The sequence below is a fragment of the Homo sapiens genome, chromosome 1 (assembly GCF_000001405.40).
Source record: "Homo sapiens chromosome 1, GRCh38.p14 Primary Assembly".
Taxonomy (NCBI): Eukaryota; Metazoa; Chordata; class Mammalia; order Primates; family Hominidae; genus Homo; species Homo sapiens.
The window spans coordinates 222,893,419-222,908,762 of NC_000001.11; the positions used below are offsets into that span (position 1 = coordinate 222,893,419).

At 38.8% G+C, this 15,344-nt stretch overlaps 1 protein-coding gene across 10 annotated transcripts in view; it reads left to right on the forward strand.

Moving 5' to 3' along the window:
* The window catches only part of DISP1 (dispatched RND transporter family member 1), a 190,957-nt gene that overhangs the window by 78,380 nt on the left and 97,233 nt on the right, over nt 1-15,344 (forward strand). For 2 of the 10 annotated variants that reach the window (NM_032890.5, NM_001350630.2), the window contains exon 2: nt 6,363-6,447. The exons of the other annotated variants lie outside the window; for them this stretch is intronic. The gene's annotated coding sequence lies outside the window, so the exon portion shown is untranslated. The remainder of the gene's footprint in view (nt 1-6,362; nt 6,448-15,344) is intronic. 10 annotated transcript variants of the gene reach the window in all.

Consider the following 15,344-nt stretch of genomic DNA (forward strand, 5'->3'; position numbering starts at 1 on the left):
GCTGTGCTTGGCTCATGCTACCGGCCCGGATCCCACACCTGCCAAAGGCAAGCCAGGCATGGAGCGGTGAGGGCTGTGTGGGCGAGTGAGTGTGAGGTCTGGCTGCTGTGCACAGACAGCTAGGCACATCAGCTGCTGTGGCAGGGCGGGCAGCCCCAGGCGCCGGCACTGACTCCATGGAAGGCTGCGGCTTGACCAGATGTACTGCATGCAGCTTCCACTGCGGGCACCCATGTCTGGATGAGGGGAATGTGGTGGTGCCTGGAAGCTTGGAGATGCCAGGAACTGCAGAGCCCCAAAGAGAGTGTCACAACCCTGGCTCCGGGAGCTCCTAGATGTGGGCTCCCTTCTCTCCTTCTTGTTGCCCACAACGTGGCTAATGGAGTGGGGGCGTGTTTCAGCCCTGTTTGTGTTACAGCTCTTTCAGCCCTGCCATTCAGCAGGTCCTAAGTTCTTGTCCCGTGTCCAGGAATAATGAGGTACATGGACAACTGGAGTGTGAGCAAGGTGGAGAGGAGCTTCATTGAGTGGCAGAACAGTTCTCAGGAGACCCGAAGTGGGTAGCTCCCTCCCGCAGGCAGGTCATCCCTACAAGTTGAGGAGACGTGAAGTGGGTAGTTCCTTCTCCCAGCCGGTAGTCCCCATGTCTGTGTGAATCTGACTGGGTGGGTGGTTATGGGTCTCATAAGGCAGGAAGTGTGTACTGGTTGATCCATGGTTGGGCCCAGAAAAAGCTCCCTAAGTTCTCACTCCCGGTGCAGACTTCACCTAGAACTGACAGCCCGGTCCCCAGGCTTCAGGCCGTCCCTGGCTTGAAGGTGGGGCTTCACCAGGGACCTACCCCTTTCCACCCAGGAGCCAGTCTGCCTCCTGACACCGTAAGTCACTTTAGTCCATCGCGCCCAGGCTGTTCCTGCAGAGAGGCACCTGCAGGCCAATGCTGAGCCACCCTCAGTGCCCCCTCGGGCTCCCTCCCATACTTGTAGGCACCCAAAGTCCAGAGGGGACTGAGGCAGCAGGGGGCTGGAGTGTTAGCACTGCCTCAACTGTGCACACACCCGCCCGGGTTGCGACAGCGCCTGGACTCGGCTTCAACTTTGCTCCCAAATCAGAGCGAGTGCTGGGAGCAGGGAGCAGGGGGAGGCCAGGCAGCAGGAGCAGTCACTTCCAAGCCTGTGGGGGCAGGGGGCTTCTCGGGCCCCCAAGAGTGCAGAGATGCCTGGGTCCGCAGCCATGGCTGGGTGGCTGTAGCTGCGCCTGGGAGCATGGGGCTCCTGCTTTGCCAATTCGGAAATGGGTGGGGCTCCCACCTGTTCCCGCTCCCGCTGGCTCCCTGGAACAGGCACCACGAACCCGGCTGTGCCTCCCCTGCTACAGCCGGCGACGCTGCAGCGGCTGCTCCAGACGGGCTGCGGGTGCCATCATTATTATTTTAAAACACATAAATAAATATTTGAAAAATACAGAATAACCTACGAGATTGAGAATTCTTGTAGATTCCAATTTATTTCCTAAAGATTTAGAAACACCACCTAAGAGATTGATTTGACCCAAAGGCTGGGATTAAGGACCCACAGGTAGAAAAATAAGCATCTGAGTAGGGACACCCTTTCTTCTTTCCTTATTTTGGGGGAAGGATTTCAGGATGGGTAGAAATACAGATGCATTTGAAAATCTAGAGAATAGTCTCAGTTTTCTTTCCAAAGGAGTACACTCACATTTCTTAATTGTGATGGGCAAAGGGCAGGGCTGAGATACCAGAGGTAGGTTGTTATGGTTTGGAACAGCTGACCAGGGATGAGCCTAAGGAGATACTGTCCAGTTGAATGCTCAGCTGAAGTTATCAGGGAAATTCTGAAAGGCTCATTAGGAACCTTTTGTAGACCTTGGTGCTTTTTTGCCACTGTACTCTTTCCAAGTAGTTAACCGAATACCAGTCAACTTAGAAAATAAATTCAACACATTTTACTGTTAATTTGGCTTATATTTATTGTTTTAAGAATAACTGATTTTTTAAAAAAATGATGAAATACAAACTTCTGCCATTTATCTCATCATTTTTCGCAATCTGTGATTTTCTTTTCCTTTGTGAGGGAATGCTGGGAATACATCAGTAGTTGCCCAGTTCTGACTGTTTATAACAAACAGAATAATTAATGTACATTTTATCTCTTTAAAATAACATGATTGATAAACAGATCAATGGAACAGAATAAAGAGTCCTGAAAGACTCACACATACATGGCCGGCTGATTTTTCAGCAAAGGTGCCAAGGTAATTCAATGGAGAAGGATCAGTCTTTTCCACATATGATGGGTTAACTGGATCTCTTGCAGGTGGAGAGGGAAAACTTGATCTCTATCCCACAGCAAATATAAAAATTTTCTAAAAGTAGATTATAGACCTAAATGCTGTAAACCTAAGGCTATGAAACTTTTAGAAGAAAACATAGAGAATCTTTGTGACCTTAGGAAAGGCACAAAGATTTCTCAAGATTTTTTAAAAAGCCTATTCATAAGATTTTTTAAAGTGTTGATAAATTGGACTTTATCGTAATTACAAATTTCTGCTCTTCAAAAGATACCATTTAAAAAATGAAAAAGCGAGGCTACAAGGTGCAGTGGCTCATGCCTGTAATCCCAGCAGTTTGGGAGGTCCAGGTGGGAGGATAGCTTTACATCCAGGAATTCGAGACCAACCTGGGCAACATAGGGAGACACCGTCTCTACAAATGAAAAAAATTAGCTGAGCATGGTGATGCATGCCTGTGGTCCCAGCTACCGGTAGGCCGAAATGGGAGGATTTCTTGAGCCTGGGAAGTCAAGGCTGCAGTGAGCCATGATCCTGCCACTGCACTCCAGCCTGGGTGACAGAGCACAATCCTGTCTCAAAAAAAAAGAGGCTGGGCGCGGTGGCTCATGCCTGTAATCCCAGCACTTTGGGAGGCCAAAGCAGGTAGATCACCTGAGGTCAGGAGTTTGAGACCAGCATGAGCAAGATGTTGAAGCCCCGTCTGTACTAAAAATACAAAAATTAGCTGGGTGTGCTGGTGGGCGCCTGTAATCCCAGCTACTCCGGAGGCTGAGGCAGGAGAATTGCTTGAACCCAGGAGGTGGAGGTTGCAGTGAGCTGAGATCGCACCATTGCACTTCAGCCTGGGTGACAGAGTGAGACTCTATCTCAGAGAAAAAAAAAAAAAGGTAAAAAGAAAAAGCAAGGTACAAAGTAGGAGAAAATATTTGTAATACAATGTGTGACAAAGGGCTTGTATCTAGAATGTTAAAAGAACTCTTACATGGCAAACAACTTTTAAGAGGTGAGCAAAGATTTGAAAAGACACACAAAGAAGATATACAGATGGCCAATAAGCACATGGAAAGATGAGCATCATCATTAGTCATCAGGGAAATTATTTAAAACCCACAATGAGATACCATTTATAACTGCCAGAATGGCTAAAATGAAAAAGACCAAGGATTTCAAGTATCAGAGAGAATGAAAAACAAGTGTGAAATGGCAAAACCACTTGGAAAGTTTTGGAGTTTCTTAGTAAACATGCATGTACCTTATGACCCAGTAATTCCATACATACATGAAAACATGTGCCCACAAAAAGACTAACTTATGAGTGTCCATGTGAATCTTATTCGTAATAGCCCCAAACTGAAAACAATCTAAGTATCCATGAATAGGGAAGTGGACAAACAAATTTTGATATAGTCATTCAGTGGCATACTCCTCAGCAATAAAAAGACAGCACGGATGAATCTTATAGATATCTGTTGAATAAAAGACTTGGCACAAAAGAGTATATATTATATAGTTCCATTTAGGAAGTTCTAGAACAGGCAAAACTATGATGATAGAAATGATCACAGTTTGCCTGTGATGGGATATAGTGGGGTGATTAACTACAGAGGGTTACAAGAGAACTTTTGGTGGTGATGGAAATATTCTGTAACTTCATTGAGGTTGTGGTTTCATGGATGCATCTATTCGTTGTCAAAACTCATTGCACTGTGTGTTTAAAATTTGTACATTTTATTGTATATAAATTATACCTCAAAGTTGTTTAAAAATAAAAACATGAAACTTTTAAAAATAATGAAAAATATTGTTAGCATATAGTTTTGTATACTTTTTAAAAGCCTTTGTCGGCTAAATTTATGAGGAGTTGTACTGTATTTCTAGGATACTTTATTAAGCCTTCTGGGAGGCAATTCAATGAACCTGTCATTAATCATTTTATTTTGCACCTAATAGTTGTGGTTAAATCTAGAAATAATGAGGTAAGCCTTACTCCCTCAAGGAAACATTTCTTAACATCTATCACTTTCACTTTCATTTGAATGTTTTTATTTTAAAAATACATACCAGTTTTATTATATTTACTTTTCTGTATGTACAGAGGCTAAAGTACTTGGTGTTTTAGTTAAACATACATGTAATGTAAAAACATGTACATGTCCATTTCAGATTTATTTTCAAAAGTATATTCCCCATCGAATCTGAATCATAGGAATATTTAAGTCTTATGTCTTCGCAGTAAGTAGTACATTTTTACTGTAATTTTTTCCCCTGCTTTGTATCTTGATGTCCTGCAGATGAACTGGTGACATCTGATATTCACTAGTCATGTTCGTTGAGGAAAAACATACACTTTCTTATTAAATCCACTTATCTGTAAAGTTTTGGTCAGGGATTTTAGCTTTTATTATGTGGATTATAGCTTATAGTATGTGGAAGAAATCTAACTGCAGGGATATAAACATTGTTTGGGGTGGAAAAAGCCTGCACTAGCAGATGTATTATAAAAGTTGAAGCCAGTATCAAAATGTCTTTTTCAGAAGTGGTAAATAGAATTTTTTTTTAAACACTGAGATCATAGAGCCGATTGTTGGGGAGGGAACACAGTTACTGAAGTATCAACTTTGTTTTTATGTGGCATAGAGTGTTCTTAAAGAGTAAAGGTGATTGGTTGAAAAACAAATGGAAAATTCTTAATTTGTAACTCTTGAAACTCTTCCTGCCAAAAATTTTTTGAAGTGTTCCTTCATTTGTTCATTCATTCAGGAATATATTAATACACTTATCCCTTAAACCATTTTACACATGTGCCATGTACCACTGTTTTTTTTTTTTTAATTTCAACTTTTATTATAGATTAAAGTGTACACATTCAGGTTTGTTACTTGGGTAACTGTGTTATGCTGAGGCTTGGGGAATTTAATAATAACAGAAATTTTTTGAATTAAAAGATGCCTAATGGTTTAAAACATTTTCAAATGTGTCACCCACATGACCCACACGACAGTTTACTGCACTTGGTGGGAAGATACTGTTTTCAGTGTTTAATAGATAATGTATGAGGCTGCTTTCAGGGTTTGGTTATATTATGTTACTTTCATTGCCGTATATCTCCTGTATATCTAAGCTAAACTTCTTGACTAGTTTAAATTAACTTATCTAGTTGATATACTTGGGCCCTAATCTGGTTTACTTGTGCACACATCTAACATGAAGTTATTTTAACCTTGTGACATTTAATCTTTAATGTTTCTGGAGAAAAGAACTAAATATCTTTTTACAAAATAAATTATGAATACCTTTTAAGCAGCTTCTATTTGAAATAACACTTTATATAAATATAGGAATATATAATATTCTTATGTAAGAATATTTTATATGAATATAGTCCTTTACCTTTTTGATTCCTACAGCAAGGCCATGAGAAAACCAAGGCTCACAGAAATTATGTTTAATACAGTCTTTCCATGTCATTGTGCTACCTCCCCCAAATTTCAGCCTGTTTGAATTTGGGGGAGGAGTTGTGGGGGGAGCAAGAAAATAGTCTCCGATTCTAACATAGGATGTTTAAAACATTTTAAAAAGTTATTTGTTTTCAGTATCTGCCTGAGAAAGAATTAGAACATGTCTTCTTAGTTGATGAATTATCATGGGTGATTTTCAAGTTGGTGAAATGGTTAAGAGTAATTAAATAAATGGTTGAGAGTTATTTTGCACATTAAATGCTAACTTTTATGTGCATCAGTTAGTCAAAATAAAATCTCCATTTTAATTATGTCCTCACTGCCAAGGGTGAGGGTCTTGTTTGATATTGTCTGGCTTACAGGAATGAGATTGTTTAACCTAGAGCAAGAGGAAATTTTTTTTTTAAGAGATGATATCTTGTGCTGTTGTCTAGGCTGTAGTGCAGTGGCATGATCATAGTTCGCTGCAGCTTCAAATTCCTGGGCTCAAGGGATCCTCCTGCCTCAGCCCCCTGAATACTTGGGATTACAGTCGTGAGCTACCACACCCACCTCAGCAAGAGCAAATTTTTCTTTTTTTTTGTTTGACAGGGTCTCACTCTTGCCCGGGCTGGCCTTGAACTCCTGGGCTCAAGCCATCTACCTGCCTCGACCTCCCAGAGTGTTGGGATTACAGGTATGAGCCACCATGCCTGGCCAGCAAGAGGAAGTTTAATGTTAAGTACTATGTAAAGCTGTCTGTTGCCTTAATGAAAAATTTCTAAAAAATCATGGTTTTGTTTTTAGCAACCCCAAAATGCTTCTGACTTCAAGAGTTCAAATAATTTTACTGTAAAGTTTAATAAAAGGTTTAAGATATGCTGTGTAATTATGTAAGCTGGTAAGATTAAAACAAGTAAAATACAGGTAGTTTAGTTCTTAAAATCTTCATATATATTTCCTTATTAACATTAATCAGTAGAATTGAGATTGAATATAGTACAGCAGTTATGAATTTAGGCTCTAGATTCAGACTGTCTAGGTTTGAATGTCAATTCTATCACTTTCTCATTGTATGACTAGGGACAACGTTTTTAAGCCTTAGTTTCCTCATTGATAAAATGAGGATAATCTTAGTACTTGCCTCTTTTGCTAAGAATGAGGATTAAAATGATATATGTGAAACCATTTATGTCATACATACCCATTCACATGATACAGTTAATTTGGATTGTCTATGTCAGTAGATGAGATACATAAAAAAGAAAATCCAGTTGATGAGTAGTTTTGACATTATTGCATACTTAATTTGTGGATTTTCAGTGCTTCTGTTTTCTTTTTTCTGTTGGAGATCCTATTAAGTAATGAATTAATTATGATATGGAAAAGTAATGATCCTCAACAAATTTGTAAACTATATACTTGGATAATCTGAAAGACTGAAACTTAACTGTACTTATGCTTTAAATTAAAATAACAACAACCAGAATACCCAGAACATACTTTTAAGGCAGGATAATAACTTATCTGACAAATTAGAGATAAGAGATCAAGATGAAGGTAGTGAAGTCAATGATGTTTTCAGTTGATTGCAGTATGATCTCCATAAAGTTAGCTATTATTTTTACTAATATATGAACAGAGTGATGAGTGGGAGCTAAAGTTAGGTACTTTGTAGGGAAATCTATGCACTATTTCTAAGGAGCTGTAGGACTGAGAAAGGTATTTTACTTGTTTTGTGTTATTTTTAAAATGAGAAAAATAAAAGCATATTTGTATGCTGTTGGGAATGATCCAACAGAGAGGGAAAATGAGAAAGATGAGAAGTATTTGATGGTCTTCTTGAGTAGATGAGAGGAAGTGGAATATAGTACACAAATGGAGGGATTATTTTTAGAAGTAAGGAAAGATTATCTCTAGAAACGGTGGGATTGCAGAAAACTAAGCTACGAACAGATGCTGGTGGGTGAATAGCTCTGATGGTGATAAGTTGTGGAAGTTCTCTTCTGATTGCTTGTATATTCTTACTGTATTCTTAGTGAAGTAGGTCATGAACCAAACTTGAGGACGAAGGATTTGTGAGAGATTTGAGGAGCCAGGAAAAGGTATGAAATAGATATCTGAAAGAAAAAGAGAAAGTATTAACAGTGACTAGAGACAAAAAATAGGTTTTCTACCAAGAATGAAAATGAATATTGAAAATGGACTTCTAATAGATGACAAAGGCAATGGAATAATATCTTTAAAGTACTGAGGGAAATAAGAGTAAGAGTGAAAAACAAAGATATTTGGGGACCTGCAGAAGCTGAGGATGTAATACTTATAGATTTTTGTTTGTTTGTTTGTTTGTTTTTTTGTTTGTTTTTTGTTTTTGAGATGGAGTCTCACTCACTCTGTCACCTGGGCTGGAGTGCAGTGGCGCGATCTCTGCTCAGTGCAACCTCTACCTCTCGGATTCAAGCGGTTCTCCTGCCTCAGCCTTCTGAGTAGCTGGGATTGCAGGCATCCACCACAATACCTGGCTAATTTTTGTATTTTCAGTAGAGACGGGGTTTCACCAATTGGCCAGGCTGGTCTGGAACTCCTGACTTCCAGTGATCCACCTGCCTTGGCCTCCCAAAGTGCTGGGATTATGGGTGTGAGCCACTGTCCAATACTTATAGATTTTTGTCAGAAATGCTACAAAAGCATATACTTCACTAAAAGGAAATTGAACCCAGATGGAAAGTGTGAGATATAAGAATCAAAAGGAGCAAAGAAATGGGTATTTTGCATAGAGGTGTTTGTAGTATTCTCTGATGGTAGTTTGTATTTCTGTGGGATCGGTGGTGATATCCCCTTTATCATTTTTTATTGTGTCTATTTGATTCTTCTCTCTTTTCTTCTTTATTAGTCTTGCTAGCGGTCTATCAATTTTGTTGATCTTTTCAAAAAACCAGCTCCTGGATTCATTAATTTTTTGAAGGGTTTTTTGTGTCTCTATTTCCTTCAGTTCTGCTCTGATTTTAGTTACTTCTTGCCTTCTGCTAGCTTTTGAATGTGTTTGCTCTTGCTTTTCTAGTTCTTTTAATTGTGATGTTAGGGTGTCAATTTTGGATCTTTCCTGCTTTCTCTTGTGGGCATTTAGTGCTGTAAATTTCCCTCTACACACTGCTTTGAATGTGTCGCAGAGATTCTGAACCCTAGAAGAAAACCTAGGTAATACCATTCAGGACATAGGCATGGGCAAGGACTTCATGTCTAAAACACCAAAAGCAATGGCAACAAAAGCCAACATTGACAAATGGGATCTAATTAAACTAAACAGCTTCTGCACAGCAAAAGAAACTACCATCAGAGTGAACAGGCAACCTACAAAATGGGAGAAAATTTTCGCAACCTACTCATCTGACAAAGGGCTAATATCCAGAATCTACAATGAACTCAAACAAATTTACAAGAAAAAAACAACCCCATAAAAAAGTGGGCAAAGGATATGAACAGACACTTCTCAAAAGAAGACATTTATGCAGCCAAAAAACACATGAAAAAATGCTCATCATCACTGGCCATGAGAGAAATGTAAATCAAAACCACGATAAGATACCATCTCACACCAGTTAGAATGGCGATCATTAAAAAGTCAGGAAACAACAGGTGCTGGAGAGGATGTGGAGAAATAGGAACACTTTTACACTGTTGGTGGGACTGTAAACTAGTTCAACCATTGTGGAAGTCAGTGTGGCGATTCCTCAGGGATCTAGAACTAGAAATACCATTTGACCCAGCCATCCCATTACTGGGTATATACCCAAAGGACTATAAATCATGCTGCTATAAAGACACACGCACACGTATGTTTGTTGCGGCACTATTCACAATAGCAAAGACTTGGAACCAACCCAAATGTCCAACAATGATAGACTGGATTAAGAAAATGTGGCACATATACACCATGGAATACTATGCAGCGATAAAAAATGATGAGTTCATGTCCTTTATAGGGACATGGATGAAACTGGAAATCATTCTCAGCAAACTATCGCAAGGACAAAAAACCAAACACCACATGTTCTCACTCATAGGTGGGAATTGAACAACGAGAACACATGGACACAGGAAGGGGAACATCACACTCCGGGGACTGTTGTGGGGTGGGGGGAGGGGGGAGGGATAGCATTAGGAGATATACCTAATGCTAAATGACGAGTTAATGGGTGCAGTACACCAACGTGGCATATGTATACATATGTAACTAACCTGCACATTGTGCACATGTACCCTAAAACTTAAAGTATAATTAAAAAAAAAAGAAATGGGTATTTTGGTATGTCTAAATACATATTATAAAAAGTAAATACTAAATTTATATATGTAAATATATTTACTAGGATATTGGATAACTTGGGATATCTGTTTTAATGCAACCAATTGCTTATTTTTTCTTTCCCTTTGTGATGAGAGGGAAAACAAAGTTCTGCAGACTGTCTTTAAAGAGCTCATGTTTTTTAAGCTGGCTTTGTGATCACTGTTTAAGAACTTTAGATGTAGTGTGACCTTAATCTACACTATGTAAAATTAGATGGTATCATAGATATTTGACATTGCCTTCCAAGTACACCAAAGATTACTAGTCTAAATTCTATATGTATCAGATACCTAAGCCATTCCCAGGTTCTGAGGTGTTTACTCAGAGGTTAGGGAAGAGAACTACTTCTGTGCATTAGAAGGCTTATCTTTGGGTGTTTCCTCAGAAGGAGGCAATAGAGTGCATAAACATCAAATTTGTGCTTAAATACATTTTATTTTTATTTTCATCTGCTTCAGTGTTTGCGTGGCAGCCTTACTTAGATCAAATAAAACCTAGCATATGGGTTGTGTACTCCTGCCATTCAAATTCCTTTTATGGAAAAGAAAAATAGTCTTCTTATTCATTTCCCTAATTGGGAAGGATGAAGCTAGTAAGTTATTGGACAAAAGCTGAAAAATATTCTCATGTCCATTATGTAAAGGTTTAGACATCTTTTAAAACCAGTACCTGCCAATGTGAGGTTTTTAATGTATTTTACATTTCCAAAATTAAAACGTAATCTCCAAGATTGTCTGAATTACTTATTAGTAGAAAATATATTTGTGTGAGCTTCCTAAACCTCTGTGCTTAAGTAGTCATTCAGTCTTCGCTATTACATCATAAGTCATTACTAAGCCTTTTGTTCTGAGCTATACCAAAGATATTATTTATATAGAAACATATTTATAGATGTTTTCAGTATCATTTAGTACCTTAATTAGTATTCATGATGTTAAAAAGAGACTAAAGTTTATTTCTGATAGCTTCTCTTTTAATATGATATGTTATATAAATTTAGAAGCAGTAATTTATCTTTAGTTTATTCAGAGACTCTTTTTTTTTATTTTTTTATTTTATTTTTTTTTTTGAGATGAAGTCTTGCTGTGTCACCTGGGCTGGAGCATAGTAGCGCGGTCTCGGCTCACTGCATCCTCTGCCTGGCAGGTTCAAGCAATTCTTCTACCTCAGTCTCCTGAGTAACTGGGACTACAGGCACACACCACTATGCCTGGCCAATTTTTGTGTTTTTAGTAGAGACGGGGTTTCACCATATTGGCCAGGCTGGTCTTGAACTCCTGACCTCATGATCTGCCCACCTCGGTCTCACAAAGTGCTGGGATTATAGGCGTGAGCCACTGCCCCTGGCCTCATATTTTAACTAATAATTTCCAGTCATTTGATTATATTTTTGGAATATTTTTACTTTCAAAAACTGTATTTGTTACCAGAAAGACATAAAAACTACTCATGCTGCAAATATGCATGCTGGTAAATACAAATCGGATCATTTATTTCAGGACTGGTTTTATTGACTTTTTAGGTGAGGATTCTATTATTAATAGATCTAAAATAAGAAAGAAGTAACTATTATAAACTGATTTAAGAACAAGTTGGAGCATAAAAACTCTAAAAATAAGATGGATTATGAGGTATTAAGTGTTCTCCAGTTAAAATATTATTTTATAAATAGTTAAATAATTTAAGAAATATTTCTTCCCTTAAATGTTAGTTCTAAATCAGACTAGTCTCAGATGCATATTAGTAATGCTCGGAATGGAAAACATACACCTGTGGTAAAAGAATATGTCATGGTAAATATGTTTATACAGCTGTGTGGTAATGTTAGTTATTACAGAGCACATTTGCAGAATCATGTAATGAGCCTCATTTTCAAACAACCATTAACTTTGGCTTAGAAATGGCTAATTAAAGAATAACTGCATTTTTCAAATGCAGACTGCACAAACAATATATAGCATCACTGTAGTTGTCTTCTTAACAGAACGTATAAATTTGATTGTAAGTATATGTTGGCTAATTTCGAGGAAATTCAAACTTCTTATAAGACTATTTCTTATTTATAATTTATACTTTCATTGCATATAATGCCTACTCTTTTAGTACCAGACTGAGTTTCCATTAAACTTTATTGCACTTACATGGACTCTTCTGTCAAGCTTTAATAAAATTATAAAATTGACTTAATTGGGTCTATCTGAAAGCTTCCTTTATCATTAATAAATTTTATTTATTCCATGGGGTTATAAGTCTTGGATAACTTGTATGACTTCATTCAAACTTGTTCTAGAATATGAATAAATATTATTTAAAATTAAGCATGAGTAAAAGCAAATTTAAAAATATTCTCATAGGTCTTTGAGGATTTACTCAAGAGTGCATAAAATGTTACCATTAACTATGTATTGCTATAGTGCAATCTGTAAAAATATGTTATCTAAAAAGTTTAATAAGCAGTGGGTGGTTTCATCTATTCGTCTAACTTTTGAGCACCTGCTAGGTAAACTCTAGAAATATCAAGAAGGAAGGCTTATTTCCTGCCCTCAAGTATTTTAGTTTCCTTCTACCGAGCATCAACTTTTAATTACCAGCAGTTACTTTTTTTTAAAAACCTGCCACTTGAGAGGAAGATACTGCAAATGTATTCAACATATAAATAGTGGCATCTTTATTAGACCCTTAGCTCTTTTTAGAGCTCTCTAAAATGGATACTAAGTTATAAGAAGACCAGGAAAGAAAATAAACAGATTCATGGCGTATTTATTTCCACTCCTGGAAAAAAGAGTTCGATGTGCTTTGGGGGAACTTTTTCTTGTTTGAACAATTTAACTTCTAAGGTGGATACAAAGTTACCAGAGGCGTTTGAACCAGAGCAACTCCATCTTAAATAGGGGCTGGGTAAAAAAAACGCTGCCATCTGCTGGGCTGCATTCCCAGGAGGTTGAGGCATTCTTAGTCACAGGATAAGACAGGAGGTCCGCACAAGATACTGGTCATAAAGACCTTGCTGATAAAACAGTTGCAGTAAAGAAGCCGGCGAAAACTCGCCAAAACCAAGATGGCGATGAGAGTGACCTCTGGTCGTCCTCACTGCTACACTCCCACCAGCGCCATGACAGTTTACAAATGCCATGGCAACATCAGGAAGTTACCCTATATGGTCTAAAAAGAGGAGGCATGAATAATCCACCCCTTGTTTCACTTATCATCAAGAAATAACCATAAAAATGGGCAACCAGCAGCCCTCTGGGCTCCTCTGCCTATGAGAGTAGCCATTCTTTGATTCCTTAATAAACTTGGTTTCTTAATAAACTTGCTTTCATTTTGCTTTGTGGATTCGCCTCTAATTCTTTCTTGCTCAGACCCAAGAACCCTCTCTTAGGGTCTGGATCAGTACCCCTTTGAGTAACAAAGTAATGAGGTGTTCGGAGTTGATTTAAGGTTAATCATGGAAGATTTTGACCTTGGTCTTTTTTCACACCACTTAGCATGGTGACTAACACATAGCAAGTACTTCATAAATATTTATTGAATGAATGAATGAGTAAATAAATAAGGATTAATAAAATAGTGGCCATCGATTTGCAGAAAAGGAGAGCCTTCTAGCAGAGGGAGAACTGAGGCAGGATTGTTGTAGAGGCAAGAATTGTGAATGGGTTTCCTAGGTTGGTCAAGAGGTGAGCTCAGGAGAAATGAGGACTCTAATAATCAGAAGGGCTTCCATTGTTAAACTCAGTTCGCTTTAGTATGAGAGCCCTAGGTCGTGAATGTCTAGTCTAAGTAAAATTAGTTTTATTAACTCTACAGGAGTAAAACGGGGAAGAAACTAGAGCAGAGATTCTCAAAGTGTGGTCCCACACTTAGCAGCTTTAGCATCATCTGGGAGCTGGTTAGAAATGCAAATTCTAGGGCCAACCCAGAACTACTAAATGGGAATTTCCCGGTGAGGAGTGGGGAGGAGGGAGACTCAGCAACCTGTGTTTTAGTGGGCCCTCCAGGGGATTCTGATATCCTTAGGCTAACATTTGAGAACCACTGGGCTGGAGGAGGAAAGTCAGGTACCAAATAAAAGCAGTGAGATTAGAGATTATAGAAGAGATAATTACTAAGATTATTTCCAACTGTAAATTGAATGATTTAAAGATTTGATTATGGCCGGGTGCAGTGGCTCATGCCTGTAATCCCAGCACTTTGGGAGGCCAAGGTCGGCGGATCACGAGGTCAGGAGTTTGAGACCAGCCTGACCAACATGGTGAAACCCCGTCTCTACTAAAAATATAAAAATCAGCCAGGCATGGTGGCACAAGCCTATATCCCAGCTACCCAGGAGGCTGAGGCAGGAGAATTGCTTGAACCCTGGAGGCGGAGGTTGCAGTGAGCTGAAATTGTGCCATTGCACTCCAGCTTGGGCAACAGAGCAAGACTCCATCTCAAAATAAATAAATAAAATAAAATAAAGATTTGATTATTTAGTATGGCTGTGCAGGGATGATTAATCATTGGATGTACAGAGTTTTTTTAAAAAATAGAGATGTTTGCGCTTTGGTGGAGAACCGTTAGGCTTTCAGCTTCACGGGTGGAACAACTCATTTTTACCAGTTACCCAAAAGTAACTGGAAAGTACAATGTCAATTTATTATGTATAGTAGGTAAAAAACTGGCTCAAATCAGAACAGTACACTTTCATTTGGTATGTTGATGATCTTAGAAGATAAAGTTATCAATCAAAGAGGTTGTGTGCCGAAGGATCACTTGAACACAGGAGTTTGAAGTTGCAATGAGCTATGATCATGCCACTGCACTCTAGCCTGGGTGACAGAGTGAGACCCTTAATGTAAAAAAAATTTTTAAAAAGGGTTGTGTGAGGAACAGATAATTAAATCAAAGGCAGTTGGATGATTTTTTTTGAGATGGAGTCTTGCTCTGTCGCCCAGGCTGGAGTGCAGTGGTGCGATCTCGGCTCACTGCAACCTCTGCCTCCCGATTCTCCTGCCTCAGCCTCCCCAGTATCTGGGATTACAGGCGCCCACCACCATGCCCAGCTAATTTTTGTATTTTTAGTAGAGATGGGATTTCGCCATGCTGGCCAGGCTGGTCTTGAATTCCTGACCTCGTGATCTGCCCACCACGGCCTCCCAAAGTGCTGGGATTACAGGCACGAGCCACTGTGCTTGGCCTGGATGTTCTTAAACATTATTTTAATTGAAATCAGTAACCTAATGAATTTACTTTCTTCATAACATAAA